General features: G+C 41.0%; 1 protein-coding gene, 1 long non-coding RNA gene and 1 pseudogene across 5 annotated transcripts in view, besides 4 other annotated features; 2 read left to right on the top strand and 1 right to left on the bottom strand.

Moving 5' to 3' along the window:
• SLC35F5 (solute carrier family 35 member F5) overlaps positions 1-2,928 on the top strand; it is a 53,961-nt gene extending 51,033 nt beyond the window's left edge. For all 4 annotated transcript variants that reach the window (XM_047445926.1, XM_047445923.1, XM_017005027.2 and 1 more), the window contains one exon: positions 62-2,928. The gene's annotated coding sequence lies outside the window, so the exon portion shown is untranslated. The remainder of the gene's footprint in view (positions 1-61) is intronic.
• Positions 1,436-27,908, top strand: LINC02936 (long intergenic non-protein coding RNA 2936). The gene is made up of 3 exons (NR_186169.1): positions 1,436-1,913; positions 17,353-17,449; positions 27,827-27,908. It is a non-coding gene; the product is annotated as a long intergenic non-protein coding RNA 2936 (long non-coding RNA).
• Positions 5,091-5,150: an enhancer, noted in NCBI's record as "active region_16425". NCBI's record gives its function as "activates an Ori minimal core promoter by ATAC-STARR-seq in GM12878 lymphoblastoid cells {active_cell/tissue: GM12878}" and the evidence as "EXISTENCE:reporter gene assay evidence [ECO:0000049][PMID:35858748]".
• Positions 10,200-10,249: an enhancer, noted in NCBI's record as "active region_16424". NCBI's record gives its function as "activates an Ori minimal core promoter by ATAC-STARR-seq in GM12878 lymphoblastoid cells {active_cell/tissue: GM12878}" and the evidence as "EXISTENCE:reporter gene assay evidence [ECO:0000049][PMID:35858748]".
• Positions 11,510-11,639: an enhancer, noted in NCBI's record as "active region_16423". NCBI's record gives its function as "activates an Ori minimal core promoter by ATAC-STARR-seq in GM12878 lymphoblastoid cells {active_cell/tissue: GM12878}" and the evidence as "EXISTENCE:reporter gene assay evidence [ECO:0000049][PMID:35858748]".
• Positions 12,080-12,169: an enhancer, noted in NCBI's record as "active region_16422". NCBI's record gives its function as "activates an Ori minimal core promoter by ATAC-STARR-seq in GM12878 lymphoblastoid cells {active_cell/tissue: GM12878}" and the evidence as "EXISTENCE:reporter gene assay evidence [ECO:0000049][PMID:35858748]".
• Positions 24,396-24,498, bottom strand: RNU6-744P (RNA, U6 small nuclear 744, pseudogene; annotated as a pseudogene).

Here is a 27,908-nt window from a genome sequence, read left to right as displayed (position 1 = left end):
TAACCTTTAGAGATAAACATTTAAAATCAGTTCACTAATCACAGCATTTTTTTTTTTTTAGATGGAATCTTGCTCTGTCGCCCAAGCTGGAGTGCAGTGGCGAGATCTCGGGTCACTGCAACCTCTACCTCCTGGGCTCAAGCGATTCTCCTGCCTCAGCCTCCCGAGTAGCTGGGACTACAGGCGCACGCCACCACACCCAGCTAATTTTTGTATTTTTAGTAGAGACGGGGTTTCACCATGTTGGTCAGGATGGTCTCGATCTCTTGAACTCGTGATCCGCCCTCCTTGGCTTCCCAAAGTGCTGGGATTATAGGCGTGAGCCACCGCGCCCGGCCCACAGCATCATTTTTCAAGGGTCTCTAGGGTGACCAGGTGTCCGGGTTTGCCAAGGACAGTCCCAGTTTCTACCTGCTGTCCTAGGACAATCATGAATAGTGCCCCTTTCAGTTTCAAAAGTGTCATAGTTTAGACATTAAATTACCTGACCACCCTTATATGCCCCATGTTTCTTAACATCTAGGCTGCTGACAAAATTCACATTTTCTGACTGTCAGTCTAGTGTTCTCTATACTAGACTGATACGGATCCACAAAGGAAGCAATATTGGCCAACAATTAATCTTCAGTCTTTGGATTAGTGAGAGGTGACAACGTGCTGGCAGCCGTCACAGCCCTCGCTCACTCTCCCCGCCTCCTCTGCCTGGTTTCCCAGTTTGACGGCACTTGAGGAGCCCTTCAGCCCGCCGCTGCACTGTGGGAGCCCCTTCCTGGGCTGGCCGAGGCCGGAGGCGGCTCCCCCAGCTTGCGGGGAGGTGTGGAGGGAGAGGCGAGGGCGGGAACAGGGGCTGCGCGCGGTGCTTGCGGGCCAGCGCGAGTTCTGGGTGGGTGTGGGCTCGGCGGGCCCCGCACTCGGAGCGGCCGGCAGGCCCTGCCGGCCCCGGGCAATGAGGGGCTTAGCACCCGGGCCAGCGGCTGCGGAGGGTGTGCCGGGTCCCCCAGCAGTGCCGGCCCACCGGCGCTGCGCTCGATTTCTCGCCGGGCCTTAGCTGCCTCCCCGCGGGGCAGGGCTCGGGACCTGCAGCCCGCCATGCCTGAGCCTTCCCAGCTCCGTGGGCTCCTGTGTGGCCAGAGCGCCCCCTGCTCCGCGGTGCCCAGTCCCATCAACTACCCAAGGGCTGAGGAGTGCGGGCGCAGGGCGCGGGACTGGCGGGCAGCTCCACCTGTGGCCCCTGTGCGGGATCCGCTGGGTGAAGCCGGCTGGGCTCCTGACTCTGGTGGGGACTTGGAGAACCTTTGTGTCTAGCTCAGGGATTGTAAACGCACCAATCAGCGCCCTGTCAAAACAGACCACTCGCTCTCTGTAAAATGGACCAATCAGAGGATGTGGGTGGGGCCAGATAAGAGAATAAAAGCGGGCTGCCCGAGCCCCCAGTGGCGACTCGCTGGGGTTCCCTTACCGAGCTGTGGGAGCTTTGTTCTTTCGCTTTTTGCAATAAATCTTGCTGCTGCTCACTCTTTGGGTCCACACTGCCTTTATGAGCTGTAACACTCACGGTGAAGGTCCGCAGCTTCACTCCTGAGCCGGCGAGACCACGAACCCACCAGAAGGAAGAAACTCCGAACATCAGAAGGAACCAACTCCGGACATGCCGCCTTTAAGAACTGTAACACTCACCGCGAGGAGCCACGGCTTCATTCTGGAAGTCAGTGAGACCGAGAACCCACTGAGTCCGGACACATTAGGATGTTAGAGTCCCACCTTCAAAGCATTTTTCTCCTGGAGTGGACTTTGCACAAATGGTAGGCCAATTGTGGAGTCAGTGAAGAACCAGGCTAATCCAGCTTGTTTTATTGGCCCCAGTTTTTCTTCTCAGGGCCGTAAACCAGTTATTACCAGGAAACAAAAGCAAAGTAAGTATTAAGTTTTGAATTGGTATTGAGGAGAAACATCTAAAATCAAGTCTCGCCAATCTAATTAAATTAGATTCCCAAACCGGAAGAAGCTTTGCAATTACTGCCAAAATGTCTCAGAGGGCATTAGGTTAATTGAAGCTGGAGAGGAGTGAGAAAAGAGGCAGCTGCTAGTCACTGAGAATAAGGACTCTCTATTTGCTGTGAGGTTTGTAGGGGCAGCACTTTGCTGTTGGGGTTTGGTAAGGGGATTTGTTTTAAAATTGGAATTATATTTTGTTGGCTTTTAATCATAAGCAGGGAAATACATTTTTCCTACGCCTAAGAATTTACATAAGCTAATTTGTTCCATAATTAGAAAAATCCTTGCTTTTAGCATATGGACTGTAACAATAGGGGTTGTAACTCGTGAGTCGTGTGACACATTGTTTCCCTTTGGTGAAGTTTTACTTTAAGATCTGTTGAGTATATCCAGGGAGAGAGATGAAGGTCAAGACATGCTTATTTTTACAGAGAGAGAGAGAGAGAGAGAGAAAGAGATTCATTAAACTTTGAGTTATACTTTATTTTTATTTATTTATTTTTTTGAGATGGGGTCTTGCTCTGTCACCCAGGCTGGAGTACAGTGGCATGATCTTGGCTCATTGCAACCTCCACTACCAGGGCTCAAGTGATTCTCCCACCTCAGCCTCTCAAGTTGCTGGGACTACAGGTGCACACCAACAAGCCTGGCTAAGTTTTTTGATTTTTAGTAGCAATGAGGTCTTGCTATTTTGCCTAGGCTGGTCTCGAACTCCTGGCCTCAAGCAATCTGCCTGCCTTAGCTTCCCAAAGTGCTAGGATTACAGATGTGAGCCACCGTGCCTGGCCCATATTTTACTCAGTAGGAATCTTTGCTATTTGCTATGATTTTTAATTCTTCTTGTATCTTAATTTTGCTTCCCCAATGAGTATGTTAAATGTTCTTTAAAATCTTCCTGTAAAAAAGTAAACATATTAAACAGCAGTTCTCTAATTGAATGTGCTAATTTGATAAATATTTGAGTGGATACCTACTATTTGCAAAGCTTCAAGGAATACAGTGGTGAGTAAGATAGTCTTTTTTTTTTTTTGAGACAGAGTCTTGCTCTGTCTCCCAGGCTGGAGTGCAGTGGTGTGATCTCGGCTAACTGCAACCTCCACTTCCTGGGTTTCAAGTGATTCTCCTGCTTCAGCCTCCCAAGTAGCTTAGATTACAGAAGCACATTACCATTCTTGGTTAATTTTTGTATTTTTAGTAGACATAGTTTCACCATGTTGGCCAGGCTGGTCTCGAACTCCTGAGTTCAAGTGATCCCGCCTGTCTCGGCCTCCCAAAGTGCTGGGATTACAGGTGTGAGAGACTGCACTTGGCCAATAAGATAGTCTTTAATGTCAAGGAGTTTATGATTTTTTTCTTGGCGGAGGTGATAAGAAAATATGTAAAAACAATAAACATAGGTTACAGTAGTTGGCATCAAAGGAATGGGGAAGGGCTTTTTACCAAGCTTGTCTAGCTTGTGTACCGCAGGCTGCATGTGGGCCAACACAAATTCATAAACTCTCTTTAGACATTATGAGATTTTTTTTTTTTTTTTTTAGCTCACCAGTCATCATTAGTGTTAGTGTATCTTATGTGTGGCCCAGGAAGCCAAAAGATCAGACACCCCTGCACAGAGAAAGTAGCGCTTGAGATGAACTTGAAGGTTGAAATTAAACTTTGAGAGGTATTGTTGGCAGGCAGGAGATAGGAAGCAAATAACTGCATCGAGTTGGAGAAATTTGTTGGTCTTTGGGGAAAAGCAAGTAGTTCAGTCTGGCAGGAGTTGGAATAAGTGTTAGGGAATAATGGGAAATAGAGTTAGAAAAGCAAATTGTGAAATACTGTGTATCAGTCGGCTTAGGCAGTTAAACTGCAGTAACAAAGGACTCTCCAAATCACAGCAATACTACAAGCTTATTTCTCTCTTACATTACATTTCCCTTGTGGGTATCTGTAGCTCTGCTCCATGGCTCCTTTGTTCTGGGGTCAGGCTGCAGAAGCAGCTTCGATCTGGGTTATCATCAATTCTGGCCAAGGGAAAGAAAATATGGGAGAACTGTTCAATGGTTTTCGTAGTGTCCGCTTGACTGTGGCACATGTTACAGCTGTTCACGTTTCATTGGCCAAAGCAAGTCACTTGGCCATGCCTGCCATCCCTGGGAAAGGGGAAATATAATCCTCTTACAGGAAAGGACAAAAAATATATAAAACAATTTACCAAAAGCCTTGAAAGCCAATCTGAGTCTTTTGCATTTAAATCTTTAGATGGCTTGGAGCCATGGCAAGTTTCTAGACAAGATAATATGGCTTAGTAAAACAAACAAACAAAAACATCAGGGTGTTTGTTGTTGTTGTTGTTGTTGTTGTTTTTTGAGACAGAGTCTCGCTCTGTCGCCCAGGCTGGAGTGCAGTGGCGCGATCTCAGCTCACTGCAAGCTTCACCTCCCGGGTTCACGCCATTCTCCTGCCTCAGCCTCCTGAGTAGCTGGGACCACAGGCGCCCGCCACCACGCCCGGCTAATTTTTTGTATTTTTAGTAGAGACGGGGTTTCACCGTGTTAGCCAGGATGGTCTCGATCTCCTGACCTCATGGTCCACCCGCCTCGGTCTCCCAAAGTGCTGGGATTACAGGCGTGAGCCACTGTGCCCAGCCCAGGGTGGTTTTTATGTTGTGTGTGTGTTTGTGTGTATGTGTGTGCATGTACATAAAAATTATTCAGGGTATTTATTATAAATGCGGGTTCCAGGATTCCAGAAGGTCTGATTCAGGGAGCTCAGGTAGCAAGCAGCCAGGTGGAGAGAATGTAGATTGTCCACAGACCTCATTTTATAAAACCCTGGATCAAGGAATCAACGGAGAGTGCTCAGGCAAGTGCAGGTGAGATGGGGCAGTGAGTGAGGGAACGGCAGGTAGGTCATGAGTGCAGAGGCCCAGATGCAATGTGGGCATATGGTAAATGGCCAGTACGGAGGCAGATAGATAAGAGAGAACAGATGGAACTAGACTTACTCAAGGTGGGAGGCTATGGTGCAAACAGCCAGGAAACAGGGTAGTGCAAGGGGCAAATCTTGGGAGCTGAGATTAGGAATATCAGGGGATCCTGATCTTCCCTGAGGAGGAGGAGGCAAGCCTAGCTGATGCAAGAAAAAGCTGAGAACTTGAGGAGAGCAGAGGCGATAAACAGGAAGTCGCAGGAAACTCGGTGCTTGTAAGCAGCTATGGAAAACTTGACTAAAAGCGGCCCCATAAACTTGATTTTGTATTCGGCCAGAAGAGGGTACTACGGTAGCACATATGCTGATGTCTGGGCTCGGCCGCCCAAACCGAGTAATGCCAGCTCCTGTCCAATAGGGTTATTAACCCGACCCACAGCGCGATATTTTGGGCGATTCATTTATTACTTTTATAGCCGTGAATCTTTTTAGAAGGAACTTTAAGGTTTCTATTTATTAAGGAATCTGGGGTTATTTTGTTTTGAACTGTGAATTCCTGTAGTCAAAAAGAAATTAATTCCACGGAGTTTAAGGGAATTATTACCCATTTATTGGCATCACTTGAGGCATGGAGAGGAGATTAGGACAGAGAGGAGAAAAGACCTAGAAGACAGAAAAGTGCATTTGAGGCATGACTTCTGGGAGTGTAATTGCTGAGCCCAAAAGGTTGGAATCTTATGGTTTTTTGTTTGTTTGTTTGTTTGTTTGTTTGTTTTTGAGATAGAGTCTCACTCTGTCGCCCAGGCTGGAGTGCAGTGGCTTGATCTCGGCTCACTGCAACCTCCGCCTCCCGGGTTCAGGCGATTCTTCTGCCTCAGCCTCCTGAGTAGCTGAGATTACAGGCATGCGCCACCACACCCGACTAATTTTTGTATTTTTAGTAGAGACGGGGTTTCCCCATTTGGCCAGGCTGGTCTTGAACTGCTGACCTCAAGTGATCCACCCGCCTCAGCCTCCCAAAGTGCTGGGATTACAGGCATGAGCCACCGCGCCTGGCCTATTTCTATGACCAAATAATATTCCATTGTGTGGACAAACTATATTTTGTTGATCTATTCACTAGTTGTTGGGTGTTCGGGTTGTTTCCACCTTTTGGCTATTATGAATAGTGCTGCTGCGAATGTTCGTGTTCAAGTTTTTGTGTGGACACGTTTTTATTTCTCCTGGATATATACCTGGGAGTAGAATTGCTGGATCGAATGGTAACTCAGTATTTAATGTTTTGAGGAACTGCCCAGCTGTTCTACAGTGGCTGCACCATTTTTCCTTTCCACCAGCAATGTATGAGTGTCTCAGTTTCTCCACATCCTCAACAACATTAGTTATGCTCTGTTTTTTAGGGGCTTTCTTGTTTTCATACAGCCTTACTCGTAAGTCGAAGTGGTGTATCACTGTGATGTTTTGGTTTCGTTTTTATGGTCTATGCTTGACATAGTTACTCTTATGTGTCAACTTGACTGGGTGATGGGATACCCAGCTGGTTGGTTAAACCTTATTTCTGGTGTGTTTGTGAGGGTGTTCCCAGAAAAGATTAACATTTGAATGGTTGGACTGAGTAAAGAAGATGGTCAACATGGGTGGGCATTATCAATCTACCGAGGGCCTGAATAAAACAAGAAGGCAGAGGAAGGTTGAATTAACTCTGCTTGACTACTGAGGTGGGACATCAATCTTCTCCAGCCCTCACCACTCCTGGTTCTCAGGCCTTAAGACCTGGACTAGAATCTACACTATTGATTCTCCACCTCTTGGACTTTGGGACACCACAGGCTTTCCTGGGGGTCCAGTTCACAGGTGGTTCGCAGCGGGACTTAGCCTCCAGAATGATGTATCCAATCAATATCTTTTTAATTTAATTTAATTTAATTTTACTTAAATTCTGGGATATATGCATAGAACATGCAGGTTTGCTACGTAGGTATACATGTGCCATGGTGGTTTGCTGCACCTATCAACCTGTCAACTAGGTTTTAAGCCCCACATGCATTAGGTATTTCTCCTAATGCTCTCCCTCCCCTTTCCCCCCACCCCCAATAGGCCCTGGTGTGTGATGTTCCCCTCCCTGTGTCCATGTGTTCTTATTGTTCAACTCCCACTCATGAGTGAGACATGTGGTGTTTAGTTTTTTGTTCCTATGTTAGTTTGCTGAGAATGATGGTTTCCAGCTTTATCCATGACCCTCCAAAGACATGAACTCATTCTTTTTCATGGCTGCATAGTATTCCATGATATATATGTCTCACATTTTCTTTATCCAGTCTGTCATTGATGGGCATTTGGGTTGGTTCCGAATCTTTACTATTGTAAATAGTGCTGCAGTAAACACACGTGTGCATGTGTCTTTATAGTAAAATGATTTATAATATACCCAGTAATGGGATTGCTGGGTCAAATGTTATTTCTGGTTCTAGATGAGCCAATCAATAGCTTATAAACAAGCAAACAAACAAATTCTACTGGTTCTATTTCTCTGGAGAACCCTGACCAACACAACGCTTTAATGATTGTTTTCTTACTGTGGTAAAATAGGCAGCACATGAAAGTTATAATTTTAGCCTGTCGTTGTTGTTGTGAGACAGTCTCACTCTTGCCCAGGCTGGAGTGCAGCGGTGCAGTCACAGCTCACTGCAGCTCAACCTCCCAGGCCCCAGTGATCCTCCCACCTCAGCCTTCCGAATAGCTGGGACTACTGGCATGTACCACTACACCCAGCTAATTTTTTATTTTTTGTAGAGCTGGGTTCTCCCCATGTTGCCCAGGCTGGTCTTGAACTCCTGGGCTCAAGGAATCCTTTCACTTCGGCCTCCAAAAGAGCGGGGATTACAGGTGTGAACTACTGCACCTGGCCTATCTGAGGCATTTTTAATTGTACAGCTCAGCGGCCTTCATGACATTCATATTGTTCGCATCATGGTGGTTTTGGTTTGCATTTCCCTGATGATTAATGGTGTTGGGCATCTTTTTCCTGGACTTGCTGGCCATTTGTATATCCTCCTTGGAGAACTGTCTGTTCAAGATCTTTGCTCATGTTTGATTTGGGTTGTGTTTTTATTGTTGAGTTGTGACTATTCTTTATATATTATACTATTCTTTATATTATAAGGAATATATATATAAGATATTATACTATTCTTTATATATTATATGTTCTTTATATATTGAGACAATATATATATTGTCTCAATTGTAACAGCAGGATTTTAGTTTATGGAAGTGACTGAATGATGATGTGGAGAGGCCAATGTTACTGAAAGAAGTTTTCTTACAGTTCCTGAGAGGAGGGGACATGCCACAACACGCAGGGCCACAGAGAAAGCGTTAGGATGGTCAAGAGGCAAAAGATGAGTGAGAAGGCGTGGGCCACAGCCCTTACTGGAGTTTCTGCAGGAAAGGCAAGGCAGGGCCGGGCCATCAGTTTAGGACTGGCTACTTTGAATAACATGGGTGAGCCTGGGCTATAGGGGGTGGTCTCTAGTTGCCTGGAACCTGGCCTTGGGTTGATTTAGGATAAGGGAAATATTGGTTTGGTGTGTGAGAGTTATATAGAAGGTAGATGGAGGCACAGACTTGGATCAGCCTGTCTGCACACGAAAGGAGAATTCCAGGCAACTTGACGTATATTTGTACAATTGTTTGATAATGCATTTCCATGTTTTTGGAAACAGTGAATCAAACGTGGACGGGAACAAGTCTCCCTCACTTGCCTCCTGCACCCAGCCTTGCCTCAGTGTGGGAATGCCCCATCCTTGGAGGGGAATGCCCCTTCTTGAAGGAGAGAGGTAAACACTTGTCTGCTGGCCTTGCAGTTACTAGATACCAAATAGACATAAAGAATTTAAGGCCAGGCGCAGTGGCTCACGCCTGTAATCCCAGCACTTTGGGAGGCCAAGGCGGGCAGATCACTTGAGATCAAATCACTTGAGGTCAGGAGTTTGAGACCAGCCTGGTCAAAATGGTGAAACCCCATCTCTACTAAACATACAGAAATTAGCCAGGTGTGGTGGCGTGTGCCTGTAATCCCAGCTAATTGGGGGGCTGAGGTGGGAGAATGGCTTGAACATGGGAGGCAGAGGTTTCAGTGAGCTGAGATCGTGCCACTGCACTCCCGCCTGGGCAACAGAGCGAGACTCCATCTCAAAAAAAAAAATCTGGGAAATCACAGGACAATATTAGACAGACCCTGAACAGACATATACAGTTGGCAAACATATTCTCTCATTCTGTGGGTTGTCATTTCACTTTTTTGATAGAGTTCTTCAATGCACAAAAGTTTAAAATTTTGTTGAAATTCATTTCATCTATGTTTTTCTCTTGTTGCTTGAGCTTCTGACACGCACTGTGAGGGAGTCAGGATTCTCAGAACAAAGAACCCGTTGCCAAATCTGAGATCATCAGGATTTATCCCTGTGTATTCTCTTACATGTAGGCTTTTGTTTCATTTTGAGTTAATTTTTTATATGGTATGAGGTAAGGATATATCTTATAAAAATTTTTACGCTATAAAGTGATAAGCCAAAGCCTACAAAGGACAGTCTGGTGATATTTATTGCAAATGTATATCTCTCCCAATTCTATTTCTAGGAATTTATTCCATAGATACAACACAAAAGATATATGTGTAAGGTAATTCACTGCAGCATTCTTTTTTTTTAATAATAGTAAAGCATTGTAAACAGTCCACGTGTCCCTCAATAGAGGCTTTGAAATAAATTGTGCAAAGATAAAATACTATAGAGCTACAAAAAATGAATTTCTGTATGTGCTGCTTTGGAAAGCTCTCCAAAAATTATTGTTCAATGAAAAGAAAAACAAGGTTTAGAAAAGAATGGTTTTTTGGTGTGTGAAACATTTGGGACAATAAGATACACATTTATTTTTGAAGTTTTTAGGTTTTTTTTTTTTTTGAGACAGAGCCTGCGCTCTGTCGCTCAAGCTGGAGTACAGTGGTGTGATCTCGGCTCACTGAAACCTCTGCCTCCTGGGTTCAAGTGATTCTCCCGCCTCAGCCTCCTGCCTCAGCCTCCTGAGTAGCTAGGATTACAGGCACATGCCACCACACCTGGCTGATGTTTGTATTTTTAGTACAGAGGGGGTTTCCCTGTGTTGGTCAGGCTGGTTTCAAACTCCTGACCTCAAATGATCCCCCCTCCTCAGCCTCCCAAAGTGCTGGGATTATAGGCATGAGCCACCAAGCCTGGCCTAAGTTTTAAAAAAAATTTAATTAAAAAATAATTGCATGTATTTATGGGATACAGTGTGATGCTTTGATACACATATGCACTGGGGAATGATACAACCAGGCTAATTAGCATATCCATCACCTCCGATAGTTACCATTTCTTTGTGGTGAGAACATTGAAAATCCTCTCCTTCAGGTCTTTTCAAATACACAATACATTAGTATTAACTATAGTCATCACGCGGTGCAATAGAGCACCAGAACTTAATCCTTCTAACTGATGATAACTTTGTACCCATTGACCAACCTCTCCCCTTTCCCTGCCCGCCCCTCCCTCCAGCCTCTGGTAACCATCATTCTACTCTCCACTTCTGTGAGTGTGACATTTTTAGAGTCCACACGTAAGTGAGGTCATGCAGAATTTTTGCTCTGTATATGCACATGTCTTATGTACAAGTAAAGAAGCTCTGCAAATTTTAAGACACCAAGGATGGGGCATTCCCACAGCGAGGCAGGCGCTGGGTGCAGGAGGTAAGTGAGGGAGTGTTGTTCCAGTCCAGATTTGATTCACTATTTCTGAAAACATGGAAATGCATTACCAAACAATTGGACAAATATACGTTAAAATTTAAAAAGAACCTTCTGCAGAAAAGAAAGGAGCAATGGGGATAAAACAGCCACACGGTCATGGGTGTTGCACGTATAATATTTTGTTCCAGTTGAAGCTCTGTGTTTTCTTAGCCAGTTTTCTCATGACTACTGATGTACTAAGTACAATCACACCGGAGCTGGCCGACGTTAGACTGTGGGCTGTGGCCACGGATGTCAAATAACAGCCCTGGCCTCGTCCACACAGTAAAGAGCAGACCTCACACGGGATGGTTTACCATCAAGGGGTCCAGACAGAAAGGCTGTTCTAGAACCCCTCTCACTTAAAGAGCACAAATCCGAATGAATACATTGTTTTATTGTTTTACCAGTAAGGTTCTTGACACTGATGACTTACCTTCCTATCCCCAGGAAACAGATGGTAAGTGTCCTTGAGGAGAATATCCCTTCACAGCAAATTCACATCTTTCCTTCAGCCTAGAGAGATCAGACAGAGATGAAGACCTCACCACTAAAGACCCACTCTCCTAGCTGTTTTGGAGAGGTCGCTCTTGTCTTTATAAACTTCTGAAGTTGTCTCTTGGCATATTTCCCTCCCCTCAAATCCTTATAAAAACAGGTGTGGCTAAAGCCTGTCTTTGCTGAAAGAACACTCTCTTCCTTAATAGAAAATTCTCTATTGAAAACTTATTTTCCCTGGCTGGGCTCAGTGGCTCACGCCTGTAATCTCATCACTTTGACAGGCCAAGGCGGGTGGATCACACAGTCAGGAGATCAAGACCAGCCTGGCCAACGTGGTGAAATCCTGTCTCTACTAAAAATACACAAATTAGCTGGGTGTGGTGGTGCATGCCTGTAATCCCAGCTACTTGGGAGGCTGAGGCAGGAGAATAGCTTGAACCAGGGAGTTGGAGGTTGCGGTGAGCCGAGATCGTGCCACTGCACTCCAGCCTGGCGACAAAGTGAGACTCCATCTCAAAAAAAAAAAAAAAAAAAGAAGAAAAGAAAGAAAGTCGTTTCCCTTTCTGGCTTCTGTGGTTAGCGGTGCAACAGTAGCAAAACTGGTCTCAGACATGTGAGTGGGAGGCAGGAAATCTGCAAAGTGACAATGGTCACCATGTGTACTCTTCACCCTTTCTGTGTGCTAGACCAGAGGCCCATGCTGGCATGCCATTCTGACATGCACTGTGAGGGAGCTGACATTCTCAGAACAAATGCCGCATGCGTGGAAGATGGAGGAGCCCCGTGCCAAATTCCTTCTGTTTTTATCCTCCTTCCAGTAGGAGCCCCAGATATCAACTCCACAAATTTGAAACTGTGCCAGACCAGAGTGTGTAGAGAAGTGTTTGGGGAACTGTGGGAGGGGGAGAAGATAATATTGGTATAATAAAATCAAATTCGGGGCTGGGCATAGTAGCTCACGCCTGTAATCCCAGCATTTTGGAAGGCCAAGGTGGGTGGATCACTTGAGGTCAGGGGTTCAAGACCAGCCTGACCAACATGGTGAAACCCTGTCTCTACAAAAAAATACAAAAATTAGCCAGGCGTAGTGGTGCCTACCTCTAGTCCCAGCTACTCTGGAGGCTAAGGTAGGAGAATGGCTTGAACCCAGGAGGTGGAGGTTGCAGTGAGCTGAGGTCATGCCACTGCACTCCAGCCTAGGTGACAGAGTGAAACCCTGTCTCAACAAACAAACACACACACAAAAAAAAAAGAAAAGAAAAAAGAAAAAATCAAACTTGAAAAAGAACTCCATTAAAAAGAAAAAAACTGATTTCATAACTATAATAAAAATACGCTATAAATATAGTAAAATGCCATGGAGTCTGTGTCTAACTCTGAAGAAAAAAAATTGTCATCTAAAAGACAGATTCTGGAACCAAACACCAGAAAAGTTCTCAAGAAATGAATGGCTTCTTTAGAAGACAAAGAATGAGTAAGTTCAGTTGTAACCAGAAGTGAAAGCAAAGTCATCTACAGCTATGCTTGGAGATGTTGGTCTTTTCATAGCATGGTCTTTTTGTGGCATGCAGCAGTGAGGGCAAAGAAACCACTAGGGAACTTTGAAGCCTTGGTTCGCTGCTGCTAGGGATTCCATTGTACAGATCTACTATGCACCAGTTAATGGATAGTTTACTTTATCTATGCACCAGTTAATGGATATTTGAATTATTTTCAGTTTTTACTTATTATGAATAATGTGGCTTCAAACACCCCCATGTACGCTTTTAGGTAGACATAAACCTTCAATTCTCTTCATAGATACTTAGGAGTGAAATTGATGGATCGTTTGTTAAGTACAGGTTTAACTTTTTAACACACTTTCAAACTATTTTCCAAATGACTATGTCATTTTAAAATCTTACCAACACATACTTGTCAATACTTGGTATTGTCAATCTCTTAATTATAGGCATTTTAGTGGGTATGAACTGAATGTACGTTATTCTGGTTTTAGTTGCATTTCCCTAATGATTAATTATTTGGAACATTTTTCATGTGTTAGCCATTTATATATCTTCTTAGGTGATATGTCTACTAAAATCCTTTACACATTTTTAATTAGCTTCTAACTATTGAGCTGTTCAAATTCTTTGCATTATCTGTATATAAATCCTTGATCAAATAAACCATTTGCAAATATTTTCTCCAAGTGTATAGTTTATCTGTTTACTTTCTTAATGCTGTCTTTTGAAGAAGAAAAGTTTTAAATTTTGTTGAAGTATAATTTATCAATATTTTCTTTTATGAATCATATTTTTGATGTCAAATCTAAAAATCTTTTTTTTACCTAATTCAAGGCCACAAAGATTTTTCTTCTATCTTTTAAAGAAGTTTTATAGTTTTAGTTCTTACATGGAAGCTTATGGTCCATTTAAATTAATTTTTGTGTATATCTGCTGGTGGGAATGTAAATTAGTACAACCTCTATAGAAAACAGTATGGAGATTTCTTTAAAAATTAAAAGTAGAGCTACCATTCGATCCAACAATCCCATTTCTGAGTATCTACCCAAAGGAAAAAAAATCATTATAAAAAAGACACCTGCATGCATATATTCATTGCAGCACAATTCACAACTGCAAAGATAAGGAACTAACCTAAGTGCTCATCAACCAATAAGTGGATAAGGAAAATAAGGTATATATATACCATAAATACGACTCAGCCATAAGCAAGAATAAAATAATGTTTTCTGCAGCAACTTTGATGGAGCCGGCGGCCATAATTCTAAGTGAAATAACTCAGGAATAGAAAGCCAAATATTGCATGTTCTCGCTTACCAGTGGGAGCTAAGCTATGGGTATGCAAAGGCATACAGAGTGATATAATGGACTATGGAGACTCAGAAGGGGGAGGGTAGGAGGGAGGGCAAGTGACAAAAAGCTACATATTTGGTACAACGTATATTACTCAGGTGACGCTTGCATTAAAATCTCAGATTTCATCACTGTACAATTCATCCATGCAACCAAAAACCACTTGTACCCCAAAAGCTATTGAAATAAAAAATATTAAATAAAAATACAAATTAAAAAGGCAAAAAATAATAATTTTGTGTATGATGTGAGATAAAGGTCTAAAGTCATTTATTGTATATCAATTCAATTCTATATTAGTCCATTCTTACGCTGCTAATAAAGACATACCAAAGATTAGGTAATTTATAATGGAAAGAGGTTTAATTGACTCAGTTCAGCATGGCTGGGGAGGCCTCAGGAAACTTACAATCTGGTAGAAAGGGAAGCAAACACATCCTTCTTCACGTGGTGGCAGCAAGGAGAAGTGTCAAGCAAAAAGGGGAAAGGCCCTTATAAAACCACCAGATCTCATGAGAACTCACTCACTATCATGAGAACAGCATGAGGGTAACTGCCCCCATGATTCAATTACCTCCCACCGGGTCCCTCCCATGACACATGGGGATTATGAAAACTATAATTCAAGATGAAATCTGTGTGGGGACACAGCCAAACCATATCAATAAACATTATCTGTTGAAAAAAAGCTGTCTTTTCTACGGGGATTGCCTTTGCACCACTGTCAAAAATCAATTGTCCATAAATGTAAAGGTTTATTTTTGTACTCTCTATTCTGTTCCATTGACCAACATGTCTGTCTGTATGCCAATACCGCCCTGAGTTGATTACTCTAGTTTTACAGTAAATTTTGAAGTGAAGTAATATGAATTGTGGGTTTTTTTTCAAACTTACATTGGCTAGTCTACATCCTTTGCATCTTAATATATATTTTGGAATCAACTTGCTAATTTCTACAAAATCCTAACTGGAGTTTTGGTAGGGATTGCATTTGAATTTGTAGGTAAATTTGGGTAGAATTGCCATCTGAACAATACTGAGTTTTCTGACCCAGGAACATAACATATTTCTCCATTTATTTAGATATTCACAAAACATTGTTTCGAAATTCTCAGTGTATGAGTCTTACACTTCTTTTGTTGATATTTTCCCAAGTGTTTTATTATTTTTTATTGTATTGTGAGTGCAATTTTTTTCCTTAATATCATTTTAGATTGTTCATTGCTAGCATATCAAATACAATTGATTTTTTATATTGGTTTTATATCCTGCAACCTTCCTAAACTTACTCATTAGTTCTAGCAAGTTTTTTAAAATAGATTCCATCAGATTTTCTACACACATCTTCTGTGATTAAGGACAGTTTTATTTCTTTTTTTCCCAGTCTGGATGCCTTTTATTATTTTTTTCTGGTCTATCCCTGGCTATAACTTTCAGTAAAATTTTCAATAGAAGTGTTAAGAATGGACATGCTTGTCTTGTTTCTGATCTCAGTCTTTCACCATCAAATATCACATAGATACAGGTTTCTTGAGAAAAGCTCTTTATAAGGTTGAAGAAGTTCTGCTTTTTTCTACTTTGTGGAAAGTTCTTTTTATTTTATCATGGATTTTGTCAAATGATTTTCCTATATTGACATAATCATGCGATTTTTATTCTTTATTCTATTAATATGGTATGTAATATTAATATATTTTAAGATGCTAATCTAACCTTACTTTCCTGGGGTAATTCCCACTTTGTCATGGTGTGTACTTAAAAATATATGTTTATGTATTCAGTTTGCTAGTATTATTTTTAAAGAGTTTTTGCATCTATTTTTATGAGAGATTTTAGTTGATAGTTTTTCCTACTTCTGATATCTTTGTATTGTGTTGGTATCTGGGTAGTGATACTGGCCTCATCAAATGAGTTAGGAAATATTTCTTCCTCACCTATTGGTATCGGTTGAACTGTGCCCTCCTTCCCAAATGTATACGTTAAAATGCTAAGTGCCAGTGCCTCAGAATGTGCTCTTATTTGGAGATAAGGTTTCTATAGAGGTAATCAAGTTAAAATGAGGTCTTTAAGGTGGGTCCCAATCCAATACGACTGGTGTCCTTGTAAGAAGGGGAAATTTGGACACAGACAGAGGGGAGAGAATGTGAAGACAGGCGGAAGATGACTCTGCAAGCCAATGAAAGAGGCCTGGAACAGACCCTTCCCTCACAGTCCTTGGAAGGAACCAACCTACCAACACCTTGGTCTTGGACTTGTAGCCTCTAGAACTGTGAGACAATAAATTTCCATAGTTTAAGCCACATAGTGCAGTACTTTGTTATGGCAGCCCTCATAAACAAATACACAGATTTTCTGAAGAGTTTGTATAGGATTGGCAAGATTGCTTCCTTAAATATTGGATACAATTGACCAGTAAAGTCATCTGGGCCTAGAGTTTTTTTTTGTGGGAAGATTTTAAGTTACTAATTCAATTTCTTATTTGTTATCAGTCTCCTCAGATTTTAAATTTCTGATTGAGTCAGTTTTGGTAATTTTTGTCTTTCTAGGAATTTATACATTTCATCTATGTTGTGTAATTTGCTGGCATAAAGCTGTTCATAGGATTCTCTTAAAATTCTTTCTGTAGGGTCAGTAGCTACATTCCCTTTTCATTCCTGATTTTCATAATTTATGTCTTATTTCTTTTTTTCTTTGTCAGTCTAGAGAAAATTTTATCAACTGTATTTCTCTTTTCAAATAATCAGCTTTTGACTTTCTTCCTTACTGTTTTTATTTTATTGATTTGTATTTTGATTGCTATTGTTTCCTTCAATTTACTTTGGGTTTAATTTGCCCTTCTTTTTCTACCTTTTGAAGTGAAAGATTAGATTATGGATTATAGATCTTTCTTCCTTCTAATTTAAGCATTTAAAGCTATAAACTTTCTTTTAGGCCTTGCATTAGCTACCCTCAGAGATTTCAGTGGTTTTGTTTTCATTCAGTTTGAAATGTTTTCTAATTAACCTTATGATTTTTTTTCTTTGACCCATGGTTATTAAATTATTTATTTATTTATTATTTTATTTTGGGGGGATGGTGTTTTGCTCTTATTGGCCAGACAGGAGTGCAATGGCACGACCTCGGCTCACTGCAGCATCCACTTCCCAGGTTCAAGTGATTCTCCTGCCTCAGCCTCCTGAGTAGCTGTGACTACAGGCGTGTGCCACCACGCCAGATAATTTTTGTATTTTTAGTAGATACGGGGTTTCACAGATGGAGTCTCATGCTGTCTTCCAGACTGGAGTGCAGTGGCTCAGTCTCAGCTCACTGCAACCTCTGCCTCCCAGTTCAAGTAATTCTCCTGCCTCAGGTTCCTGAGTAGCTGCGACTACAGGTGTGTGCCACCATGCTGGCTAATTTTTGTATTTTTAGTAGATATGGGGTTTCGCCATGTTGGCCAGGCTGGTCTCGAACTCCTCACCTCAGGTAATCTACCCTCCTCAGCCTCCCAAATTGTTGGAATTACAGGCATGAGCCACCGCTCCTGGCCTCTGTGGTTATTTAGAAGTATGTTTTTCAAATGTTTGAGGGTTTACCAAATTTCTTTCTGTCGTTAATTTTCAATTTAGTTCCATCAGAGTTGGAGGACATACTTCAGATGACTTCAATCCTTTTAAGTTTATTGAGACTAGTTTTGTGATCCAGCAAAGGCTCTATCCTGGAAAATGTTCCATGTGGATGTGAAAGGACTGTATACCCTGCTGTTGGGTGGGAGCATTCTATATGTTAGCTGGGTAAAGTTGGTTGACAGTTGTGCAAGATTTATATATCCTTATTCATTTTATGCCTAGCCATTCTATCAGTTACTTAGAGAAGGGACTTAAAATTTCTAATTACAATTACTAAATTGTCCATTTCTCCTTTCCATTCTGTCAGTGTTTGCTGCATGTATGTGTTATTCAATGCCTATGTCTTTATAATTGTTTTATGTTTCTGATGTTTTGATACTTTTATCATTATGAAATATTGTTGCTATTTATCCCTACCAATATTTCTTGATTTAAATTCTATTTTTTTTCTGATATTAACATAAGTACTTCAACTCCCTTATGGTAACATTTTGTATGATTTACATATATTTTCTCCATTCTTTTTTTTTTTTTTTTTTTTTTGAGACAGAGTCTCTCTCTGTCACCCAGGCTGGAGTGCACTGGTGCAATCTCAGCTCACTGCAACCTCCGCCTCCCACGTTCAAGCGATTCTCTTGCCTCAGCCTCCTGCATCTTGAGTAGCTGAGATTACAAGTGTGCACCACCAGGCCCAGCTAATTTTTGTATTTTTAGTAGAGATGGGGTTTCACCATGTTGGCCAGGCTGGTCTCGAACTCCTGACTTCAAACGATTCGCCCACCTGGTCCTCCCAAAGTGCTGGGATTACAGGCATGAGCCAGCTATATTTTCCCCATTCTTTTACTTTGTAACTACTTTTGTCTGAATTAAAAGTGCTTTTCTTGAAGGCAGCTTATGTAGTCATGTGTCAATTAACGACAGGGATGTTTTGAGAAATGTACCTTTCCAGAAACCTAGATGGTATAGCCTGCTACACACCTAGACTATAGGGTATAACCTAGTGATCCTAGGCTACAAACCTGTACGGCATGTTACTGTACTCAACACTGCAGGAAATTGTAACATAATCATGACTATTTGTGTATATAAACATTTCTAAAGATAGAAGAGATAGAGTAAAAATATGATATAAAAGATAAAAAATGTAACACCTGTATAGAGCACTTACCATGAATGGAGCTTGTAGGACTAAAGTTGCTTTGGGTGAGTCAGTGAGTGAATGGTAATTGAATGTGAATGCCTAGGACATTACTGTACCCTACTGCAGACTTTATACACACTGTGTACACTTAGGCTACACTTAATTTATTAAAAATGGTTTTCTTTCTTCGATAATAAAATAACATTACATACTACAACTTTTTAAATTTATACCCTTTTATTTTTTTGAGGCAGAGTCTAGCTCTGTTGCCAAGCTGGAGTGCAGTGGTGTGATCTTGGCTCACTGCAGCCTCTGCCTCCTGGGTTCAAGCGATTCTCCTGCCTCAGCCTCCTGAGTAGCTGGAATTACAGGCACGTGCCGCCACTCCCAGCTAATTTTTGTATTTTTAGTAGAGATGGGGTTTCACCATGTTGGCCAGGATAATCTCAATCTCCTGACCTTGTGATCTGCCCACCTCGGCCTCCCAAAGTGCAGGGATTACAGGCATGAGCCACCAAGCTTGGCTTTTATCCTTTTTAATATTTTAACTTTTTGACTTTTTTGCAATAACACTTAGCTTAAAGCATATATTGTACAGCTGTACAAAAGTATTTTCTTTCTTTATAGCCTTATTCAATTTTTATTTTTAAAATTTGTAATTTCTTTTCCTACTTTTCAAACTTCTTTGTTAAAAACGAAGAGACAAACACACACATTAGTCTAGGGCTGTACACGGAGGGTCAGGATCATCAATATCACTGTTTCCCACCTCCACATCTTGTCCCACTGGAAGGTCTTCAGGGTCAGTAACATGGACGGAGCTGTCACTTCCTATGACAGCAATAATTTCTTTGGGAATATCTCCTGAAGGACCTGCCTGAGGCTGCTCTACAGTTAAAAAAAATAAGTAGGTGTACACTCTAAAATAACAACAAAAAAAGGTATAGTACGGTGTATACATAAACCAGTAGCGTAGTCATTTATTGTCTTTATCAAGCATTAGAGACTGCCACTATAATTATGTGGGCTATACTTTTATATGACTGGTAGTAGATTTGTTTACACCAGCTTCACCAGAGACTCATGAGTAATGCTTTGTGCTGCAGCATTACCACAGATACGACATCACGAGGCAACAGAAATTTTTCAGCTTCTTTATAATCCTATGGGACCACCGTCCTATATGCGGCCTGTCATTGACTGAAATGTCATGGTGTAGCACATGACTGTATTGGACCGTGCTTTTTCGTACATGTTGATAATGACTGCCTTTTGATTGCAGTGTTTAATCCATTACATTTAATTGTTGATATCTTTGGATTTGCATCTGCCATTTTACTATTTGTTTTTGTATGTCCCATGTCTTTTTCCCCCATCCTATTTTGCTGCCTTCTCTTGTGTTAAACACATCCTTTTTTTTTTTTAAGTGTGAGACATTTTAAGTCCTAGGTTATTTTATTAACTATTTTGAAATTTAATTTTCTTTGTGGTTACTCTAGGGATTATAATACATATCATATCACAATCTACTTTAGCTTAATGCTGGGAATTTTGAAAAATATAACAACTTTGTTCTAATATAGCTCCATTTCCCCATTCTTTGAGCCATTAATGCTATATTTATTATACCTATATATGCCATAAATCCGACAGAACAGTGATAGAGTGATTGCCTTATGCAGTCATATAATATTTAAACAAACATTTTAAACTATCTTATATTAACAAATGTATATATATTTATATATCATATGAACTTACATAATCTATAAATATATATTTAAACAGAACATTTAAAACAAACTCATATAAAAAAAGAGAAAAAAACCTGTTCATACAGCCTTTTATGCTAACCCACATATTTATCATTTCCATTGCTCTTCATTTCTTTCTGCGGATTCATTTCCTGGTACCATTTTCTTTCAACCTGAAAGTCTTCCTTTAGTATTTCTCATGGGACAGTTCTGCTAGCTACAGATTCTGTTTTTGTTCATCTTTCTTTTGAGCAGAATCTCGCTCTGTCACCCAGGCTGGAGTGCAGTGGCACGATCTTGGCTCACTGCAACCTCCACCTCCGGAGTTGAAGTGATTCTTGTGCCTCAGCCTGCAGAGTAGCTGGGACTATAGGTGACTGCCACCACGCCCAGCTAATTTTTGTATTTTTTGTAGAGATGTTGGCGAGGCTGATCCCAAACTCTGAGCTCAAGTGACCCATCCGCCTCGACCTCCCGAAATGCTGGGATAACAGGCGTGAGCTGCTGTGCCCGGCCTGTTTTTGTATATCTTTGAATGAATTTATTTTAGCTTCTTTATATATATATATATATTTTTTATTATACTTTAAGTTATAGGGTACATGTGCACAACATGCAGGTTTGTTACATATGTATACATGTGCCATGTTGGTGTGCTGCACCCATTAACTTTCGTCATTTATATTAGGTATATCTCCCAATGCTATCCCTCCCCCCTCCCCCCACCCCACAACAGGCCCCGGTGTGTGATGTTCCCCTTCCTGTGTCCAAGGGTTCTCGTTGTTCAATTCCCACCTATGAATGAGAACATGCGGTGTTTGGTTTTTTGTCCTTGCAATAGTTTGCTGAGAATGATGGTTTCCAGCTTCATACATATCCCTACAAAGGACATGAACTCATCATTTTTTCTGGCTGCATAGTATTCCATGGTGTATATGTGCCACATTTTCTTCATCCAGTCTATCATTGTTGGACATTTGGGTTGGTTCTAAGTCTTTGCTATTATGAATAGTGCCACAATAAACATACGTGTGCATGTGTCTTTATAGCAGCATGATTTATAGTCCTTTGGGTATATACCCAGTAATGGGATGGCTGGGTCAAATGGTTTTTCTAGTTCTAGATCCCTGAGGAATCGCCACACCGACTTCCACAATGGTTGAACTAGTTTACATTCCCACCAACAGTGTAGAAGTGTTCCTATTTCTCCACATCCTCTCCAGCACCTGTTGTTTCCTGACTTTTTAATGATTGCCATTCTAACTGGTGTGAGATGGTATCTCATTGTGGATTTGATTTGCATTTCTCTGATGGCCAGTGATGGTGAGCATTTTTTCATGTGTGTTTTGGCTGCATAAATGTCTTCTTTTCAGAAGTGTCTGTTCATATCCTTTGCCGACTTGTTGATGGGGGTTTTTTTTCTTGTAAATTTGTTTGAGTTCTTTGTAGATTCTGGATATTAGCACTTTGTCAGATGGGTAGATTGTAAAAATTTTCTCCCATTCTGTAGGTTGCCTGTTCACTCTGATGGTAGTTTCTTTTGCTGTGCAGAAGCTCTTTAGTTTAATTAGATCCTATTTGTCAATTGTGGCTTTTGTTGCCATTGCTTTTGGTGTTTTAGGGATGTAGTCCTTGCCTATGCCTATGTCCTGAATGGTACTGCCTAGGTTTTCTACTAGGGTTTTGATGGTTTTAGGTCTAACATTTAAGTCTTTAATCCATCTTGAATTAATTTTTGTATAAGGTGTAAGGAAGGGATCCAGTTTCAGCTTTCTACATAAGGCTAGCCAGTTTTCCCAGCACTATTTGTTGAATAGGGAATCCTTTTCCCATTTCTTGTTTTTGTCAGGTTTGTCAAAGATCAGATAGTTGTAGATGTGTGGCATTATTTCTGAGGGCTCTGTTCTGTTCCATTGGTCTATATCTCTGTTTTGGTACTGGTACCATGCTGTTTTGGTTACTGTAGCCTTGTAGTGTAGTTTGAAGTCAGGTAGTGGGATGCATCCAGCTTTGTTCTTCTGGCTTAGGATTGACTTGGCAATGCAGGCTCTTTTTTGGTTCCATATAAAATTTAAAGTAGTTTTTTCCAAGTCTGTGAAGAAAATCATTGGTAGCTTGATGGGGATGGCACTGAATCTATAAATTACCTTGGGCAGTATGGCCATTTTCATGATGTTGATTCTTCCTATCCATGAGCATGGAATGTTCTTCCATTTGTTTGTATCCTCTTTTATTTCATTGAGCAGTGGTTTGTAGTGCTCCTTGAAGAGGTCCTTCACGTCCCTTGTGAGTTGGATTCCTAGGTATTTTATTTTCTTTGAAGCAATTGTGAATGGGAGTTCAGTCATGATTTGGCTCTCTGTTTGTCTGTTATTGGTGTATAGGAATGCTTGTGATTTTTGCACATTGATTTTGTATCCTGAGACTTTGCTGAAGTTGCTTATCAGCTTAAGGAGATTTTGGGTTGAGACGATGGGGTTTTCTAGATATACAATCATGTCATCTGCAAACAGGGACAATTTGACTTCCTCTTTTCCTAATTGAATACCTTTTATTTCTTTCTCCTGCCTGATTGCCCTGGCCAGAACTATGTTGACTAGGAGTGGTGAGAGAGGGCATCCGTGTCTTGTGCCAGTTTTCAAAGGGAATGCTTCCAGTTTTTGCCCATTCAGTATGATATTGGCTGTGGGTTTGTCATAGATAGCTCTTATTATTTTTAGATACGTCCCATCAATACCTAATTTATTGAGCGTTTTTAGCATGAAGTGCTGTTGAATTTTGTCAAAGGCCTTTTCTGCATTTATTGAGATAATCATGTGGTTTTTGTCTTTGGTTCTGTTTATATGCTGGATTTTGCTGGACATATTGGTTGACACTGTTTTCTTTGAGTCTTTTGAATATGTTGTTCTACTGCCTTTTGGCCTCTATTGATTCTGATGGAAACTCAGCTGTTAAATATGTTGTTGTTCTTCTGTACATGGGAGTTATTTTTCTCTTACTGCATTCAAGATTTTTAAATTGCTTTGGCTTTTAGCAATTTAACTATGATGTGCAAATCTCTTTGTGTTTTTCTTACCTAGGTTTGTGGGGCTTCTTGAACCTGCTGATTAATGTTTTTCAGCATAGTTGGGAGGTTTTCAGGGCATTATTTCTTCAAAAAAAATTTTTTTAACCTTTTTTCTGCTCTCCTCCCCTTCAGGACTCCTATTATATGTATGTTTGTGTGCTTGATGTTGTCCCAGAGGTCTCTGAGGCTCTGATCATTTTTCTCCAGCCTTTTTTCTCTGTGTTCTTCAGAAAGGATAATTTTTCTTTCTTTCTTTCTTTCTTTTTTTTGAGGTAGAGTTTTGCTCTTGTCGCCCACAATGCAGTGGCACTATCTTGGCTCACTGCAACCTCTGCCTCTTGTGTTCAAGTGATTCTCCTGCCTCAGCCTCCCAAGTAGCTGGGATTACAGGCACCCGCCATCATGCCCGACTAATTTTTGTATTTTTAGTAGAGGTGGGGTTTCATCATTGTTGGCCAGGCTGGTCTCGAACTCCTGACCTCAGGTGATCCACCTGCCTCGGCCTCCCAAAGTGCAGGGATTACAGGTGTGAACCACCTCGCCTGGCTGCAGAAAGGATAATTTCTACTCATCTATCTATGTCTATAGATGTGAGATGATAGAAGGAAATAATCAGTAAGTTCAGACTCTTGCTGTTCTTATATGACATTTGGGTAGATTTCATGAATAGACCCTTTTTAGTTTATTATTTGCTTTTGGTTGATTTCCAGTCCTAAAACGCTTGTTTAAACAATTTTATACTTATTTTTAAAATGAAATGCTTCATGAATTTGTGTGTCATCCTTGTGCAGGGGCCATGCTAATCTTCTCTGTATCATTCCAATTTTAGTTCACGTGCTGCTGAAGTGAGCAAAACAACTTTATACTTTTATATTTGTTTTGGCGGGGAGAGGATTTGTCCACCTTTTTAGGCTGCTCTAACTTGAAGTATCATCTCTGGTATGTTTATAGTTTTTTTTAATGTTTACATTTTGGAGTTTTAATTTTGTTCATTCAGTAGCTTGAGATAGGGATCTAACTTTGTTTTTCTTCCAAATGAATAGATAATTTACCAAACAACTTCTGGCTGACTGACTGCATCCCCAGCTTCAGTCTGTTTGTGTATATAATTTTTGGTTGAGACTAATGTTTGAGCATGTGTGTGTATGTTGGTGCAGCTGTGGAAGAAAATGAATGGCACGTAGGTCCTCAAAATAAAATGAATCACCTCGAAATGTTAAGATAAAATGGAAGCATCTGTATGCAATGGGTGAGATTAATCTGTGGAAGACATCTCAGAGATGACCAGTGTTTAGACTGTTATTTGTGATGCTGTTGTGTCTGACTTTGAGCCATTCATGACTCTACATACTTGTTTTTTTTACGTCCTGTCTACATCTTTTCCTGCATCTAATCTTAGTCCAACATTTTGATTTTAGCTTTTCTGCTATTTTTGTACACTTGGCAACAATGTGGAACCCTTATTTAAAAGAGCAAGTGGCCTCTTAGAAAAGAGACCCCAGAAAGATTCCTCACCCCTTTTACCATGTGAAAACACAGAAAGACAGCCATCTATGAGTGGCCTCTTAGAAAAGAGACCCCAGAAAGATTCCTCACCCCTTTTACCATGTGAAAACACAGAAAGACAGCCATCTATGATCCAGGAAGCAGACCCTCACCAGACTCCAAATCTGCCAATGTCTTGACTTTGCACTTCCAGCCTCTAGGACCATGAGTAACTAATTTCTGCTTATGGCATTTTGTTATAGCAGCTTGAACAGACTAAAACAACGACTTATGCATAAGGAAAATTAACTTTTGGCAAGTTATTTTTATGGCAATGACCTCTCACTCAAGGATATTCAGCAGGTAATTGCAGAAGGAGATAGGAACTCACCTCTGTCTGCAACAGTTCTGAAAAAAAATCTCTTAAACACCACAATTCAACAGGGGGATGTGTCCTGAAAGAGAAATGGGCTTCATTTTAGGTAGGTAAGTCAATCTCCATAGTAATTAGAGACAAAGTACATAAAGCACATCATATGACATAGGACTCAATAAATGGTAGTTATCAGCATCATCATCGTTATAATCATTATATAATTGTTGTTTTGTGATACAGCTAAAATTAAACAAAATTTAAGGATACCGGCCACCCCTAAATGAAATGTTAGCGTGAAATTCCAGACTCTGACAAGCCAAGGCCCAGATAGAAACATAATGCAAGGTCCCCTTACATGGCACTACTATGCTGAGAGCTCGGCCCTGCCTGGAAGTGTCACCTACCTTATCAGTTGCACCATCACTCTAGTTAGCTACCTCATGCTGGGGAGTGTTTCTATGGTGTACAATAGGCCCGCTGAGAGAAAGAGTCTTTGATGCTATTTATTTGGGCTGAGATAGGTCTATGGCTGCCTACATGGGCAGCATTTCAGGGGTAGCACACAGGCTTTGAGATCTGGATGCAGCCCTACTCATGTCCGAGCTGCGTGAGCTTCGCAAGTTGCTTTATCCCTCCGAGACCCAGGTCTCGTATCTATAAAACAAGGTTGATGATACTTTGCAGGGTTTTTGTGAAAATTGGAGATAATATGTAGGAAGTATTCAGTACACCCTAAGTGCTATATAATGGTATTATTTAAACACTTCAACAGCATCCATTAATTACCCCTATCTTGGAGGTTTTACTTGAGGCTTAAAAGAAAAAAATATGTAAAGTACCTAGTACATAATAGACCCTTAATAATTGGTAGGCTATTATGTAAATTTCAAGGAATACAGTTATGGAATGGACTTCTTTAAGTGTAATTCTCAATTTGTAGTTAAGAGGCTTAGGTCTTGGATCTAGAGCTAATTAGCTGTGTACTCTTAAGCAAATCACTCTGGGTCTCAGTTTCCTCACTCGAAAATTACATATTTGCACAAATGAGAAGCCAAGATGTCTCTTTTTATAAATTGAAAAGGAAACTTTTTTACAATTAGCAAGGAAGGAGCTTTGGAATACTAGGGAACATTCTAGAAGCCTGGCTTAACACTACTAAGTTAGGGTCATTAAATTTTCAAAATGAATGAATTCATTAGGAATAAGAGAGGAAGAAAAATATGCATAGCCGAGTTAATTCATTCAGATGTGTTAGCTGTGCACCTGAGTCTTGGAGAAATGTCTTGCTCCTCTGAGCTCCTCCAAATGGGATTTTTGATGGAGTCTTACATGTTTTGCTCTCTTCTCACATCAAAACATTCCACGTACTTTGAGTTTAGATTCAGCCCTTCCTCCTGGTATTAAGGAAGCAGTGAATACATCACCATCAACCTTCTTTCTATCAATATGAGAGACCTACCTGCTGTTTTCTTTATTTTTATAAGAAGAACACCTTTTTGCAGCCAAAAGATTCAGCTTACCTTGAAAGAACCTTTCCTCTTAATTAAAAAGCTATTAACGACATGCTCTTTGAGTTAAATATTGGTGTTTGGCGGGGGAGGGGTGGGGGGAGAGGTTGGTGAATGAGAAAGTTCTGCTTTGGGGATTCTGATACAAAAACTATTAAGGGATTACATAGTTGCCTTAGCCCTGCATACATTCTTCATGATTCATTTATTTGTTCTCGTACGCTCAGTGCCTGGCACATAGTACAGGTATCTGCTAAAATGTTTGTCGAATTAGTAAATGAATAAGAGAAATGTCTTTTCATAGTCTCCAATAAGGAAAATACCATAAATAATCTTGAATGTGTTTCTGGTGGATCCTGTTTGAATAGAATTTAACTGGGCAGGGTACGTGGATTTTGGGAAACTGGGTTTAGGAGCAGTCAGGGAAGGGGAGATGCTAGCTTAGTACCTGCTGGGACCTCTTCCTTCAGACAGAAAAGGGATGGCATAGCGTGAGGAGGTTCACAACCCACTGCTGTGGGTGTAGCATTCAGTCTCCAGCCCGAATAAGGCCTGTTGGCCTCCTCCAACCATAGTTGGGAATTGGGTATGCAAGTGTGGGGAGGATGGATAGGAATGGCTGAGCCTTGCCTGAGTTATTGGAAAGAAGCAAAGGTTGCAAAAACAAAAATAAAAACAAAAATGTTGAAACTAAAAATGTGTTTATATGTGGTATGAAGCAAGTGAATGACCCTTACACTTGCATTTGGTACTTGATGCCACTCTTTAAGGATGATGACTTTTCATACTGAAGATGCCCCTTCCTTTCTAGAGGACCAAGAACTTCGCTTTATTCCTGGCAGTGTGCATTGCTCATGGCAGCATGAAAAAAACAGAGTCCTGAGTATGAAGTA

This window comes from Homo sapiens, chromosome 2 (assembly GCF_000001405.40).
Source record: "Homo sapiens chromosome 2, GRCh38.p14 Primary Assembly".
In the NCBI taxonomy this organism is placed as follows: Eukaryota; Metazoa; Chordata; class Mammalia; order Primates; family Hominidae; genus Homo; species Homo sapiens.
Note: the sequence above shows the minus strand (reverse complement) of the source record. Positions and strands in the feature narration are given on the sequence as shown.